Source organism: Homo sapiens, chromosome 6 (genome assembly GCF_000001405.40).
Source record: "Homo sapiens chromosome 6, GRCh38.p14 Primary Assembly".
NCBI lineage: Eukaryota > Metazoa > Chordata > Mammalia > Primates > Hominidae > Homo > Homo sapiens.
The window spans coordinates 166,304,574-166,319,727 of NC_000006.12; the positions used below are offsets into that span (position 1 = coordinate 166,304,574).

A 15,154-nucleotide genomic window follows, 5' to 3' on the forward strand; every position below is an offset into this window, starting at 1 on the left:
GTTCTGACAACTTGGCATCCACTTTTCTAGAAATAAGGCAGATCAACATAAAAACCTATCTTAAAGTGCCAGCTATTCTCTAAATAGAGGGAATTAAGTCACATATATGCTCAATCTTTGGAACTGGCAACACTTTTACTTACATAGTGGCACCCAATTTTCTCTCCTGGGATGGAAGTCCTCCTCAGTCCCTGCTATGAGATATTACAGTTATGGGAGAATTTGATAATAATATAATAGTAATCTAATAGTCTAGCAATTATTCAAATTGACCCTTTAATTTCTGATTGGTATGACCTACCAGTATGAAATTACTTTAGGCAAAATAAAAAAAATATTCTAGTGAGTGTATATAGGAGGAGTCCTTAACCTGGGACCCATGAGCTTCTTAAAATATATGCAAATTATATGCAATGTTTTGTTGCTATGTGGTACACGGTTTTAGGAGTCCTTTTGGAATATAGCTTTCACGGGGATTTGTGGCCCCATAAAAGGTCAAATGTCATTGCCAAATAACCTTACAGTATTTGACTATCTTAAAAATCCTGGTAGTGATTTTTAAAAATTCTAGTAGTGATTAAAACCAGCAAACCTTTTTCAACTCCTGGAAATCCCAGAACCTTAGGTTGAGTGCCACTATGAAGAAATCATGTCATGTGAATTGTAAATCCCTCAGTAGTCTCTTCCTGACCAGTTTTCAGTGTCCCCCTCAAAAAGAATCACAAGTCACTGAATTTCTCTTTTATTTAAGCATTAAGAAATTGGAGCATAGCGACTTAGAAAACTTTCTCAAAATGTCCTTAACAGCAATGAAAAGATATCATGTGTCACGTGTAAAACCTTTTTTCTGTTTGTTTTTTATTGAAGCTCATTGACCAGGGAAACATAAATGTTCCACTCATCTGCTTTTAAAGTAGAGAACAAGGCCCACAAACTCTATTTAATAAATACAAATTACTAAAAATGCGCTTAGTGTTGTATTGTGGCCAGTTAAGAACAGGAGATGCTGGGACAGAGCCTACAGAAAGGGCGGGAGAAGAAAGGAAATCAAAATGAAGCAGCTGACAGGGACGTCAGGGAGACACACAGGTGCAGTGACAGCCACACTGCAGCAGAAGCTCAGCTTGGAAGACAGAGGCTGCAGAAAGTCGGTCCCTCTAGGATGCCACCAGGGAAAAGTCTTCAAAATGTTGTTGTTACTGTGACCAAGGGCAGAAGTCTAGGCATCTTAATTATTGGTATTTGCACTAAGTGCAAGACGAGACCAAGTTGAGCCACTCCTGCCCTCGGCTCGGAGTCAGTGCACTCTTGCTCCACCCTCTCAGCTCCAGACCGTGTGCCCTGCCCAGGACGGCGCACTCAGAGACCATCTGGGTGGGGGTGGAACAAGAGCAGCACCGTCACTTGCATAAGCATTGCTAGTTTTGCCCCTCTAGAATTAATATATTCATTTTAAGTAAAAGAAAACTTATCTCCAAATTCAAAGAAGTTATTCAATGGGTAGGTTTTTTTCTGTTTTTGCAACTCATCTGGCAGCTGACCTAGCTCCCAATGAATTAAATGCTTCACATCTAACTAAATGTGTGCCTAGAATTAGAGAGAGAGAGAGAGAGAGACAGTGTGTGTGTGTTATTAGAGCAAAGACCTCCACAAGAAAAATACAAAATCTGTTTTAAAAATGTAAGGCTTCAATTTAAAATACAATTAAGACTTGATACATTTAAAGTCTATCAAGATAAACATTAAACCAGTTATTGGCTTTTACAAAGTCAGTCAAAAATTGAGGTAATACATTACTCTTTTATAACCAGCCTTATCTGATTATAACATTTTATTTCCTTCTCATCCTTCTAGTTAGATATTCTCAGATACATGGAAGAAATATGTAGAAATCAGCCTCCAGTTAGCGGGGGAAAGGATATGGTTACGAAACAGCGGAGGAGCTTTACTCTCTATTCAAATAATACACAGAAAAAATGTAATCAGCCGAGCGGTTTCCATGGAAGCGCTCATTGACCAGGGCTCACCAGCGCCTGGCGATGCCTACCCTTCCGCTTTGGAGACTGGAAATTCGGTTAACTGAGTTTCAGGGATGTCTAATACCCTCAACATTTTTCTGACTTGGGAGAAAACAAAATCACGAATGTAGGACCGGGTCCCAGCTCTGCAGGAGGCCACCGTCGCGGCCACCCACCTGGGCCATCGCCCACCGCACTGTCCAGGGTGCCCGGCGCCGGCTGAGGGTGACACCACGGGGCGTGCAGATGTAGCCCTGGGGAAGGCCCGCCTCCAGGCAGAGGGTCTCTGGGACCTAGACGAACCCTGGGGGTCGGGGCACCAAGAGGCATTTTCTCAGTTGCTTAATTCCCCACGAACTGCATGGATGCTCGGCGATGCCAAGAGGAGGCCAGAGTGGGGGCAGAGGCAGGCATCTGGGGTAGATACCACCGGTGTGAACGAGAAAGGCCCGGGCTGCCGGCTGGCGAGGGCAGGAGGGGGGCCGTGGCCGTCGGGCGAGTCTGGCTGCGCCCCACGTGGGCCAGCTTGCGCACTGGTGTCCCGAAAGTGGGCGCTGGCGGCCAGAGGAGCCTGCGGTCTCCCCCGAGGGCCCCTAGGCGGAGTGGCGCGTGCAGGAAGTGAGGTGGGATCAGGCCTGGCCTGTCCCCGCAGGCCCGCTGGGCTCACAGCGTGCTCAGGTGCCGCCGTGAGTCCAGGGCCCCCGCCCGGCCCCGCGCGGCAGCCGCGGACTCCACGCCGCGCAGCCACTCCGTGCACTTGCGTACCAGGCCCTCGTCCACCGCCTCTGGCTCCTCCTCGTACTCCACGTCGTCGTACCTGTGCCGCTCGTTGAGCAGCGACACCTTGAGCATCGGCCGCAGGGCCCCGGGCCGCGGGCTGAGCTGGGGAACCTGCAGGCCGCCGTGCAGCAGCTGGGCGCCGGGCGGAGGCGCGCGGCGGCCCTGGCCGGCGGTGGGGGGTGCGTCGGGGTCGCTGGCGGGGCCGCCCCTCCGCGGGCCCGCGGCCCTAGCCGGGAGACACGGGGCGAGTAGGCGCCTGGGTTCGGCCGAGGGTGAGGGGAAGGGCCTGCGGGGCCGCGCCAGCAGCTGCTTCTCCAGATGACGCTTCTGGATGACCAGGACGGCCTCGGGGGTGAGATTCAGGCAGAAGCGCGCAGCGGAGTCTGGACAAGGCCCCGCCCCCGAGGAGGTGCCCGCGGCGGTGGTCCCCGTCCCCGCCGAGGTCGCCGCATAGGTGGTCCTCGCTGGGCTGTGGCCGGAGCCTGCCGGCCGGGGCGGGGCGCACGTGGCTGGGGCCCGCGCGCGGCTGGGCAAGGCCTGGGGGGAGACGCCCGGAGGGGCCGGCGGCTGCGTCCTGTCCAGGCCGGGGCCGCGCCGGGCCGGCGGCCTCTTGAGCGTGGCGGAGGGCCAGGAGCTGGAGAGGAGCCCCTCGGGCCGCTGTGGGGGCCTCTTCTTCTTGTCCCCCGCGGCGCAGGGCCTCCGGGGTAACTGGCGCGCGGCTTGGGCCCCCGGGGCGGGGGCGGGCGGCGGCGGCATGGGCGGGAAGGGCATAGTGCAGCCGAGCCGCCGGATCCTCAGCCCCTGGAAAGAGAGGCGGGCGCTCAGCCACTGTGCGCGGAGCGGGTCCCCGCAGTCCGGGCGGCCCCTCCACACCCACCTGCGTCCAGCCGCGGCCTCTCCGGCTTCCTCACATCCCAGCGACCAAACCCGGGGACTCAAAGAGAGGCGCTCCCACCCTCCCCTCCTCCTGGGGGTGCTCCCGGGACTGGACCCTGCAGGAACCGCCTCCCGCCGTCCGACTGTGGGCGAGTCGCGGCGCCCCCGGGTCCCCACAGCTGAGACGCGGGCCGGGCCGGCAGGAGGAGGAGCCCAGCGCGCTCGCTAAGGACGCGGCCCTGCCAGGCCCCGGGCTGTGCCCGGCTGGTGTCACGACCGACTGTTGAATGGGAGCAAAGTGCCAGGACAGCGGAGGGCGGAGCGCGCGCCAGGCATCCCGGGGCTCCCCCAGCTGGCGCTCCGGTGGTCCGAGGTTAATGTAGTCCGTCGAAAGCCAGGAGCATTCCCCTGGGGGAGCCGGCAGCCTTCCGGAGTCACAGGTGGAGGCCCTGCACGTTTCAGAGAAAATCCCCTGTAGCCTCTCCGTGCCTTCGAGACGGCGGGAAAGGCACCGCCAGTAGATGCAGCTCTGCGGCCCCGGACACATCCTGCTTCACAGAGAAAAGCGGGCTGGAGCTGAGAGGGGAGAAATGACCCTCAGTGAATCTTACATAGTGTTCATGCCACCCCTTGAGGAGTCACTTTCAAATTCAAAACCTAAGTATCTATGAACAGGCAAAATAGTTCAGTTTCAGCTATATAATGCTGATTACATGGCAAATATTAGACATCAAGTCCCTTTAATAATTCTTATGAGCAAAGCAATATATTTATCACTGTAGCAGAGATTCAGAATTAATGAGATAAATCTTCACTGTCAATTTACATTCTAGTCGTAGACACATGAAGACATCCTACAATATTCAAATGTTTGTTTAATAAATAATTGAACAATTGCAAAGTGACGGATCAAAAAGTCAACATTTCATGTGTGCAGTCCCTGCATTACTTAAGGATAATCATCAGCTGCTTAGATCTCCACAAAGTACTTTCCATCAGATACACTTTTCTGATGGAAACCAGGTGTGTGATGGTTACGGCCCCAGGTTAGCTCCAGAGCACATTCAACTGTGGGTAAACACAAATGTGCCCTGTGCCAACAGTCACAGCAGGACAGCATGGCCCTCCCCCAGCCGCCTCAGTCTCCGAGGCAGCAGCAACGCCTCCCCTTGTTGACTGTTGGTGGCCTCAGAGAACTGCGCTGTGGATACATGGGAGCGTCAAGGAAACCTGGCAGGTGGTGGGAAACACTTCTCACCAGAGCTTGGGTTGGGGTGACAGGTTTGGGCCCTGTCATCTCTACCAGCACCTCCCAAGCCACCCCAATACAGCTCTGAAACAAGCCTCCCAGCTCACAGGCACTTTCCCTCCATCCCTGCCAGCCTGTCTCTGCCGGTGGGCTCAGGCTGTTAATCGGCTTGACAGGTGAGGTCCTAAGATACTGAAACCTCCTCCTCAATATGTTTTATTCCAGGTTTTAGAATCTCTGGATGGGTGTGGGAAGAGGCACGTCAGTGGCGGCAGGAGGCCCACAGTTCTGTGCCTGGAAAGTGGAGAACTGGAAGAGAAGGTGAGGCAGGAGAGGATGGGGGTGGGGCGGGGGGCGGTATCAAATATCATTTATGGGGGCACAGCTGGAGAGGCAGGCTATGGAGAAAAATCAGCAAACACTTGGACACTCAGACATCTGAGTTTGGAGCCCCGCAGTTCAAAAGCTGTGACGGTGCTGGTGGGGTCTTCTCTCCTTCCTGTCTCCTTACTCTTAGGATGCTTCAGAAGGAATGACAGTTTTGGGGTGAGAATGGGTTGGTGGCCTCATAGTAATGCTCCCGACTTCCACTGCTGTCTCCATTCTGCTGGGACACTGGTCGTACAGAGGCGAGGTAGCTACGCAACTGCCATCACACAGCTCTAACGGGACGGAGGAGATAAGACTCCACCCCAGGAGTGCGAGTCCAAGGCCAGATTGCAACTTTTACACTAAAGCTGAGAGGGAAAAAGTCTTGGTAGATCAGGGTGATTGGATTAAGTGACCTCTCACCCACAAACTAGTAGCGATTTGGGCCTTTTTAAGCCAAGAAAAGTGATAGTTTATCAGATTAATGCACGTGTCTGACCAGACAAGAACTGGGATTCTCCAAGCCCTCCCAGACGTCTCATACCAGCCCAGAAGCTTGGAGACATGGAAAGCTGTAAGTTTGTGTGACCCTTGAGAGGCAGAAAAGTACATTCTGAGTGTCCGCCACCTCATCACCAGGCCAGGTAGGAGGGGCAGTGCCTCTTCCCTGTCTCCCCAGAACCCTCAGAGCAAAGCATGCTCCTACGAGGGGTTCTGAGCTCTGGGTTCTCATGGCGGGTTGCTGCCCCAGGAGTACGGAGGAGTTAGCATTGCCGACGGACTATCCCCTCTTCAGACTCTGATAAAAGCACCCAAATGACAGCATCGCTTGTCCCCTGCCCAGCTACTTCTGCTACTTGAAACCTTCAGCTCCTTGTAAATTAGAAGTTAGAAAGATTGGCTTGGGCCTGAAACAGAATGCGTGAAAGCAGCCTCTGTCGCTGGCCCTCACTGGTGCTGTGGCTGTTAAAGAATCCGTTACAAATACCCTTCGGCTGATGCAAGCAGCCAGCAGCAGTTCCCAGCAAGGAAAGCCACGCCAGAGAGATGGCTGCGTTTAACTTCAGGACAGCAGGTGTAACTGAAAAGCGGTTAAAGAAATATAGTAGCTGGGTACAGTAGTTCACGCCTGTAATCCCAGCACTTTGGGAGGCCAAGGCGGGTGGATCACCTGAGGTCATGAGTTCGAGAACAAGCCTGACCAACATGGTGAAACCCTGTCTCTACTAAAGACACAAAAATTAGCTGGGAGTGGTGGCACGCGCTTGTAATCTCAGTTACTCAGGAGGCTGAGGCAGGAGAATCACTTGAATCCGGGAGGTGGAGGTTACAGTAAGCTGAGATCGTGCCATTGTACTCCAGCCTTGGCGACAGAGAAATACTCCATCTCAAAAAAATAAATAAATAAAAATAATGTAAAATTTAGCTTATAATTTACAAGGGATTTCTCATAGCTTGCCCAGAACACAATAATTATAACTATTCATATGTAATATTAAATAGTAAAGCTTGGGTACTAGAATACTGAGATCAGCTAATCTGTCTCAGAACTAGATTTTGGGGTTCACCTGAACAAGAGCTGATCTCTAAAATGCATGATTACATCTTATCTTGCATGATTACATCTTATCTAAATTTACTGTCTCAAATAAGTTGATTTAAAAGGTCAACTAACCAAAACCAAATACAGTTTACCCTTGAACACCATGGGTTTGAACTGCGAGGGTCCACTTACAGGAGGATTTTCCTCTGCCTCTGCCACTCCTGAGACAGCAAGACCAACCCCTCCGCTTCCTCCTCAGCCTACTCAAGGTAATGGTGATGAGGATGAAGACCTTCATGATGATCCACTTCAATACTTAAGAATAGTAAATGTATTTTCTCTTCTTCATGATTGTCTTAACATTTTCTTCAGCTCACTTTAAGAATACTGTATAATATATATAATACATATAACATAAAAAATATGGTGTTTTTTTTTTTGCTTTTGTTTTTGTTTTTTGAGACAGGGTCTCTGTTGCCCAGGCTGGAGGGCAGTGGTGCGATCTCGGCTCACTGCAAGCTCCGCCTCCCGGGTTCACACCATTCTCCTGCCTCAGCCTCCTGAGTAGCTGGGACTATAGGCGCCCACCACCACGCCCAGCTAATTTTTTGTACTTTTAGTAGAGACGGGGTTTCACCGTGTTAGCCAGGATGGTCTCGATTTCCTGACCTTGTGATCCACCCACCTCAGCCTCCCAAAGTGCTGGGATTGCAGGCGTGAGCCACTGCGCCCGGCTAACATACAAAATATGTTAATCAACTAAGTTATCGATAAGACTTCTGGTCAACAGTAGGCTATTAGTAGTTATGTTTTGCAGAGTCAAAAGTTACACAAGGATTTCTGACCCTATGGGAGGCTGGTACCCCTAACCCCCACATTGCTTAGGGGTCCTATGTATTTGGAACTGTCCATATTTTTGACTTATGTTTTACGTCATTTATGTTTTAAATTAAATTTGATTTTCAGATTTCAAATATAACAATAACACAATATTGTCCACATGTGGGAATGGTGATTATCCACCCGCCCCACTATTCTGTCAGAGTAAAGTGTGTATCAGAGTAAAGAATTTCCATTACAACAACCCTTTAAGACATTTCCAGTGAATAATATGTGCACAGAGAATATTTCAATCACTAAAATAAAACACCAGGAAGTTTACATTCAGGCCCAACTACAATTACAGAGGGCAGCTGTTCCACCGATTTGAACTGTGTGGACTGAAGAATTATCAAGGCTGCAGCTCGGTGACCCTGCTGTGTAAAGGGCCTCAGATCTGATCATCCCAACTGCCCAGACCCTACAGAAATGATCCCAAGGATTCCGGGCTCCCACACGATGCGCGCTGGCTGCTCAACTGCTCACTCCTGCCTCGTAACCAGTGAATAAAATTAGAGCCAGTAATCACATCACAACACCAGGAAATTAGCCATTATTTGAAAAACATTTCATTTTTCTCATTAACTTAATTTCTTCTTTTTTACTAAGTTATATAATATTTAAATGTACATTCAGAAAAACTTCAAAATGGGAACTATTTCAATACATTGTTTCTCATTATCCCCTATGGTCTACTTCTTTCTATACTTTCATTCAAATCATTTTACATGATGTAACAGTAAGCAATCAAACATCTAGAACTAAAACCAAACCTGAATTTTAACACAGAAGCTTATTCCAGTTTAAAACCAATTTTATTACTTGGAAAACTTGCCAATAACTTAAAAATGTCTACATTTCTTCTAACGCTGGTCTGTTACTGTGAAAGGCTTTGGGAATTAAAAAAACACTTAGGAAATGTGTTGGATGCTAACAATTTTAAAGTACTTCTTTTTCCCCATTATTAAGATGATAACAGGCAATGTCTATTCTGCACTAAATAATCCACTTTATCTGGATTAGTTACATCGTTGAAAGCTCATGAAAGCCCTGTGAGAGCAGTACTAGCAATACTTGCATTTTACAGATGACAAACCAAGGCTTACCCAAGCAGTCACACAACTAGCACGCGGCCAGGGGCAGCCTGTCTAGGCAGGGGGCGCCAGAGCACACGCTTCCCTCCATGCCGGGGGGGGGGGGTCCCAATTTCTTTGGTCTCAAGACCAGATGGCTGAGAACCCCAAAGAGCTTCTGTTTTGTGGATTTTACCTATTATGTTAACCTTATTAGAAATTTAAATAGCTTTAAATACATTACATGTTAGCAATAAACCCATTATGTTAACATATTTTTAATATATTTTTAAAAACTATTTTCTAAAATAAACAAATGAGAGATGAGTGGTGGGCTCAGTAGAAGCCATAGGATCTCGCATGCACTGTGTTCTGTCCTGTGCCATCACGCACCACGGGACCACAGTAACGCCACTGTGTGCTGGGGATCGCAGGAGAGAGGAAAAGAGTGATGCTGGCTCAGTATCACTATGAAAACAGACCCTAACAGGCCTCCGAGACCCCAGGCGTCCTGGGAACACGTTGTGAGAAGTGCTGCATTGAGACCGCTGACAACCAGTAGCCTTTCTATCAAAAATCCTTAACCCAGTAACCCGCGGATGGCCCAAATGCATTCCATCGGTAGCAGCAGCAGCTTTGCTAGCAGAAGAAAGTAGAAAAATAACCTTTAGAGGAAACCTCATTGTGAGCACACCTCACCAGTTCAGAGCTATCCTAAGTAAAAGAAAAAAAAAAAAGGTAGCTTACTAACTCAAAAATCTAAAAGTATAGGGCTATTCTGTTAGACAAAGGTGATTTAACGTTAACCACTAAAAATTCCCTTAACCCAGAAGGTTTCCTAATGAGGAATTTAAATCTTAATTACCATACAAAGGTCTAACCAGACCCAGGAGGAAATCCCTTCAGGACAGGACCATAGATGGTTCCTCCCCGGTGATTGAGGGGAGAAAAAAAAAGCCCACAATTGGTATTCAGTAATTGATAGGGAAACTCTTGTAGAAGCAGAGTTAGGAAAATTGCCTAACAATTGGTCTGCTCAAACGTGCGAGCTGTTTGCACTCAGTCAAGCCTTAAAGTACTCACAGAATCAAAAAACTCTATCTCAATCCTGACTCAAAAGGTTACCTACACCCTCTCTGAAACGAATTTGTGCAAGAACTGTTGTTTATGGGACTGCATCTTGATGGGGCAGCTGGGTTGTCATGAAATACTCAGGAACCCAGCCCAACTCTGGGACTCACCCCTGAGCGCAAAAGCGACGTTGGGCATGCTGGTAAAGGACCACTAGAATCCAGCAGCCCGGACTGCTTTCTTGGTGGTCAAGAAAGGTGGGAAAAGGGGTGCAAGACTGCTACATCAGTAAGCATAACTAATCCGATAAGCAGAGGTCCATGAGTGGTTACGCACCCTGGAAAGGAATAAGCATTAAGACCACAGCGGACACTCTAGGACTAATGCTCATCGGAAAATGACTAGGGGTGCTGGCATCCATATATATATATATATATTTTTTTTTTTTTTTTTTCAGATGAGAAACATTCCCCTCAAGGCAAAAATGTCCCCAAGATGTATTCTGGAGAATTCAGCCCAGTCAGAGTGTATGTACCTTTTTCCCTCTCAGACTTGAAACAAATTAAAATAGACCTAGGTACATTCTCAGATAACCCTGATGACTATATTGATGTTTTACAAGAATTAGGACAATCCTTTGATCTGACATGGAGAGATGCAATGTTACTGCTAAATCAGACACTAACCCCAAATGAGAGAAGTGCCACCATAACTGCAGCCCGAGAGCTTGGCGATCTCTGGTATCTCAGTCAGGTCAATGATAGGATGACAACAGAGGAAAGAGAACGATTCCCTACAGGCCAGCAGGCAGTTCCCAGTGCAGACCCTCATTGAGACACAGAATCAGAACATGGAGATTGGTGCTGCAGACATTTACTAACTTGCGTGCTGGAAGGACTAAGGAAAACCAGGAAGAAGCCTGTGAATTTTTCAGTGATGTCCACTGTAACACAGGGAAAGGAAGAAAATCCTACTGCCTTTCTGGAGAGACTAAGGGAGGCACTGAGGAAGCATACCTCCCTGTCACCTGACTCTATTGAAGGCCAACTAATCTTAAAGATTAAGTTTATCACTCGGTCAGCTGCAGACATTAGAAAACAAACTTCAAAAGTCCACCTTAGGCCTGGAGCAAAACTTAAGACACCCTATTGAACTTGGCAACCTCGGTTTTTTATAATAGAGATCAGGAGGAGCAGTCGGAATGGGACAAACGAGATTAAAAAAAAAAAAGGCCACCGTTTCAGTCATGGCCCTCAGGCAAGCGGACTTTGGAGGCTCTGGAAAAGGAAAACCTGAACAAATCGAATGCCTAATAGGGCTTTCTTCCGGTGCGGTCTACAAGGACACGTTAAAAAAGATTGTCCCAATAGAAACAAGCCGCCCCCTCATCCATGCCCCTTATGTCAAGGGAATCACTGGAAGGCCCACTGCCCTGGGGGACGAAGGTCCTCTGAGTCAGAAGCCATTCACCAGATGATCCAGCAGCAGGACTGAGGGTACTGGGGCAAGCACCAGCCCATGCCATTACCCTCACAGAGCCCCGGGTATGCTTGACCATTGAGGGCCAGGAGGTTAACTGTTTCCTGGACACTCGTGCGGCCTTCTGTCTTACTCTCCTGTCCCAGACAACTGTCCTCCAGATCTGTCGCTATCCGAGGGGTCCTAGGACAGGCAGTCACTTGATACTTCTCCCAGCCACTAAGTTGTGACTGGGGAACTTTACGCTTTTCACATGCCTTTCTAATTATGCCCAAAAGCCCCACTCCTTTGTTAGGGAGAGACATCCTAGCAAAAGCAGGGGCCATTATACACTAGAATTAGAAGGAAAAAGGTTAAATATACAGACTCTAAGCATGCTTACCTAGTCCTCCAAGCCCACGCAGCAATATGGGGAGAAAGGGAATTCCTAACTTCCGAGGGAACACCTATCAAACATCAGGAAGCCATTAGGCCCCCCAAATTCTCTTCACCTCTGAATCTACATCCTCCGATCCCTGCCTAAAGATAATTTTATGGGGAAGAGGATTTGCTTGTGTCTCCCCAGGTGACAATCAGGTGTCTGTGTGGGTGCCCACCAACCATCTGAAGATCTATCACGAGCCATGGCATCTAGTGGACCCACCTGCAGAGTACAGTGCGAATTGAAGGTTTGAAAAGCCTCGATTTGCTTTCTCTATGCCTTCTGTTAATCAGAAAAGGCCTGTTTCTCACTATCAGTGGCCCGGCTACAGCCACAAAAGTTTTTGCTTCTGTTTCAGTAGATTTACTAACATGGGGGTGAGGGTATGCTTGTGTTTTTGCAGGAGATGAACGAACCGTGTGGATGCCCTCAAGATGTGCACGACCATGGAATGGGAGACTGGAGGGACCCATGGATCCCAACCTTGGACCGGGTTCCCCCAGTATGAGCCATGAGCCAGTTGAATCTGAATGCGAAGAAGGAATGAGGACCGACCGGAGTCACGATGCCTAACAGACCAATGCTTTCTGACTCAGCTCCTCTCTACCCTGAATATGAGAGACCCTAATAGTTAGGCAGGAATATCATCGCCCCTATTCAGCATGAAGAAGTTACAGAAAATGGACCTTCATCCTTCTGCAGCCCCTAGGATTAAGGGTCCTCTTGTAGAAGGGAAAGGGGAGATATGTGGGAAGCATTCAAACCAGAGTGACTCCAGTTTGAATAAGGGCTAAGAAAAGAGAAGCTGGGTCACCTACCGGCAATTAAGGGCTGCACAGCCTGCAATCGCCTAGCTAATGATAGCTAAGTAATAATGATAGTAATAATGATACCTTCTCTTTTATAAAAAAGAGGGGACATGTTGGGAAAAAAGCTGAGTGTTGGGGGGGAAACCGAGGCAGGGCTTGCATAATGTCCTCTGGAATGTGTCTAGACTTGCTGGCTCCTTGCTTCTAGCCTTCCTAGGCTCCTAGGTCCCTATTCCCAGTATCTCAAGTAGCAGAACATGTTCCATGTAAATGCTAAACCATCACAGTTGTAGATCATGCGCCTGCCCTTTTGACCTCCACGTTATCACCACCTGTTTCTTTGTTGGATTACCAATAAACACTGTGGGCTCCCAGAGCTCGGGGCCTTCACAGCCTCCACGATGGCCCCCTGGTGTCCCACCTTTCTCTCTCAAACTGTCTTTTTCTCAATCCTTTTACTCCACCGGACTTTGTCACCCCCACGACCTGGTGTTGGGTCTGATCACCCCAACACAGAGCCTGTGCTCACCAATTCTAGTCGTTTCCAGCACTGACCCAGGCCTTCTGGAACCCAAGGTATGCCTGCCCTGCTGCCGGTATCTGGGCTGGGACCGAGGGCATCCATCCTATCCATCCAGGACGCCTGAGAGCTCTGAGCTAAGACAACACCCTTGTCTGAACTCAGGTGTCTCTCTCCACCACCTGGGCAGACTGAATGACGCCCTTCTCTATCCCGAGGCCACGCCTCACACCCCATGGTGGACCCAAAGCTACTCCATATCCTGTCCTGGGACTACACCCCACCCCGCACCGCTGCATCAATATAGCAGCAGGCTTCAGAGGTAGTTTCTGAACCCGCATTGCTCCATAATGGTTACTCTAAGTGTGGCCTCCAGTTTATCCCTCAGTCCTGGAAGACTGAGATTCCTCTGGAGACAGGCACGAGCTCACCGCCTGTGCCACCAGTCCCTGCTCTGGCTCTCAGGCTGCCCTGACTTGTCTCACACAGACTCCTAGAAGGCTCCTTACTTTGATCAGGTCAAACCCTGCTGCCAGCACAGGGCAAATGGGAAGCACAGAGCCGTTTCTGTGTTTAAGTCCACCTGGGCAGAAATGAAGCTGAACGGACATTTCTCAGGAAGATTCCCAATGCTGGGGGAATGTTTCCTAGAGGAACATTTCTGTGGCCGACAAACACGGATGCAGAACAAATGACTCTGGGGAGGCAGCAGAGCGCAACGGGGGGCACGGCCTCCGCAGCCCACAAGCTGGCCACACCTGCCCCTGCCACGCAGGCTGAGTCACCACGGCAGCTGCACCTCTGTATGGCATGGAGACTCGGCTACACCGCAGGGCTGAGGGCCGGCCCTCAGACGAACCAGGCCCCAGACAGAACTCAGCACATGAGTTTCTTCCTAGTCTTCTGCAAACTGACATGTTTTCTTTACTCCCATTGTCGCCTGCTGTCTAAAATAAGATTCTTCTTCAGGCTGCCGCTACTCTCAGACTCAAACTCCAGCTCCGTCACGTTTTCTGGAGCCCTGCTTCTTCTGTGGCATTCCACACATGCCACGCTCTGCCCCTCCATGCCACCCTCTTCCTCTGCCCCTCTGCTCCTTGTCACCCTCCCTGCAGCTGGGTGGGCTGTCCTCTATACGCCCCCTGCGGCTGGGTGAGCTGTCCTCCACACGCCCGCAGAGTCCTGTGGATGTCTCTGAAGCCCCAGTCCCCACACCTAACAACTGGGAACATGTCTGTCTCCCCCATAATCGTAAAGTCTTTGAAGACAAGGACGTCTGTTGCATCTTCCTTGAGCACCAAGCACAGTGTCCGCCCACTCACCAGAACTCACTCTTTTCCTGCACCTTCTTTTCCAAGCGCGTGCCTGACTTCCAGGGTCCTAAGGCCTGACCCTGGCTCCCTGCCAGCTTAGTCTCCCTCCCCACCCCAGCCCACTCCTGGATTTCAGCCACACCTGATGACCTGAACAAGGTCCGGCCACCACCACCCAGTGCTACACAAGATCCCTTCTGCCCATCTGCCTGCTGCCCCTCAAGGACATCCCCCTCAGCTCTCCTCTAAGCTGACTGTGCATAAAATGCTGCTCCCATTACCCTGTTGTATGCTCTTTATTAACTCTCCCTACCCTGGACAGACATAGAGCCGCCTTCCCTCCTGCTGGCACCACATCATGCTGGCACCCGCCTATCTGCCTCTCCCTGGCAACTGAGGAGACCAGGACAGCCAGTGGGAGACTTGCAGGGAGGAGGAGGGCGCTGGCTAGTTCTCCGCCCTCTCTGCTTCTCCTCCAGCCTGGGGTGAAGGTAGCTTCCTGCTGCCACTACTGTCCAGTGGCCTGACTTCTCCTGACACCCTCACAGTCAATGCCGCCTCACCTCCTCCCCCTGCACTTCCTGGAATGGGCTCTGCTGTCAGTCCCATTATCTCTCACAATTTGTATTTAACAGTATTATTTAGGGGAGAGACTGTATCTTCCTCATTTTTCTACAGAGAGACTGTATAGTGCCTAAACTAAATATTATTGAATTGAGTCACTTAAAATATTATAAATTTGATTCAGAAAATG

The 15,154-nt window shown here is 49.7% G+C and overlaps 1 protein-coding gene and 1 long non-coding RNA gene across 3 annotated transcripts, besides 4 other annotated features; one reads left to right on the forward strand and one right to left on the reverse strand.

Moving 5' to 3' along the window:
• Positions 1 to 726: 726 nt before the first annotated feature.
• PRR18 (proline rich 18) lies at positions 727 to 3,819 on the reverse strand. Its single transcript, NM_175922.4, has one exon. It carries the CDS (start codon positions 3,567 to 3,569, stop codon positions 2,682 to 2,684), a length of 888 nt encoding a protein of 295 aa, NP_787118.2. The 5' UTR covers positions 3,570 to 3,819; the 3' UTR covers positions 727 to 2,681.
• Positions 2,975 to 12,973, forward strand: LOC107986669 (uncharacterized). Of its 2 annotated transcripts, XR_001744464.2 has the most exons (3): positions 2,975 to 3,150; positions 5,149 to 5,244; positions 10,316 to 12,973. It is a non-coding gene; the product is annotated as an uncharacterized LOC107986669 (long non-coding RNA). The 2 variants fall into 2 exon arrangements; XR_007059864.1 differs by lacking the exon at positions 2,975 to 3,150 and having other exon boundaries at positions 4,924 to 5,244.
• Positions 3,302 to 3,901: a silencer, noted in NCBI's record as "silent region_17774". NCBI's record gives its function as "represses an Ori minimal core promoter by ATAC-STARR-seq in GM12878 lymphoblastoid cells {active_cell/tissue: GM12878}" and the evidence as "EXISTENCE:reporter gene assay evidence [ECO:0000049][PMID:35858748]".
• Positions 3,972 to 4,251: an enhancer, noted in NCBI's record as "active region_25430". NCBI's record gives its function as "activates an Ori minimal core promoter by ATAC-STARR-seq in GM12878 lymphoblastoid cells {active_cell/tissue: GM12878}" and the evidence as "EXISTENCE:reporter gene assay evidence [ECO:0000049][PMID:35858748]".
• Positions 13,368 to 14,113: an enhancer, noted in NCBI's record as "H3K4me1 hESC enhancer chr6:166731429-166732174 (GRCh37/hg19 assembly coordinates)". NCBI's record gives its function as "activates a minimal SCP1, AML or CMV promoter by ChIP-STARR-seq in primed H9 embryonic stem cells {active_cell/tissue: H9 hESC(primed)}" and the evidence as "EXISTENCE:reporter gene assay evidence [ECO:0000049][PMID:30033119]".
• Positions 14,114 to 14,858: an enhancer, noted in NCBI's record as "H3K4me1 hESC enhancer chr6:166732175-166732919 (GRCh37/hg19 assembly coordinates)". NCBI's record gives its function as "activates a minimal SCP1, AML or CMV promoter by ChIP-STARR-seq in primed H9 embryonic stem cells {active_cell/tissue: H9 hESC(primed)}" and the evidence as "EXISTENCE:reporter gene assay evidence [ECO:0000049][PMID:30033119]".

Bases quoted from the DNA above. Each gene is read 5' to 3' on its own strand.
- PRR18 (NM_175922.4), bottom strand. From the start codon at position 3,569: ATGCCCTTCCCGCCCATGCCGCCGCCGCCCGCCCCCGCCCCGGGGGCC.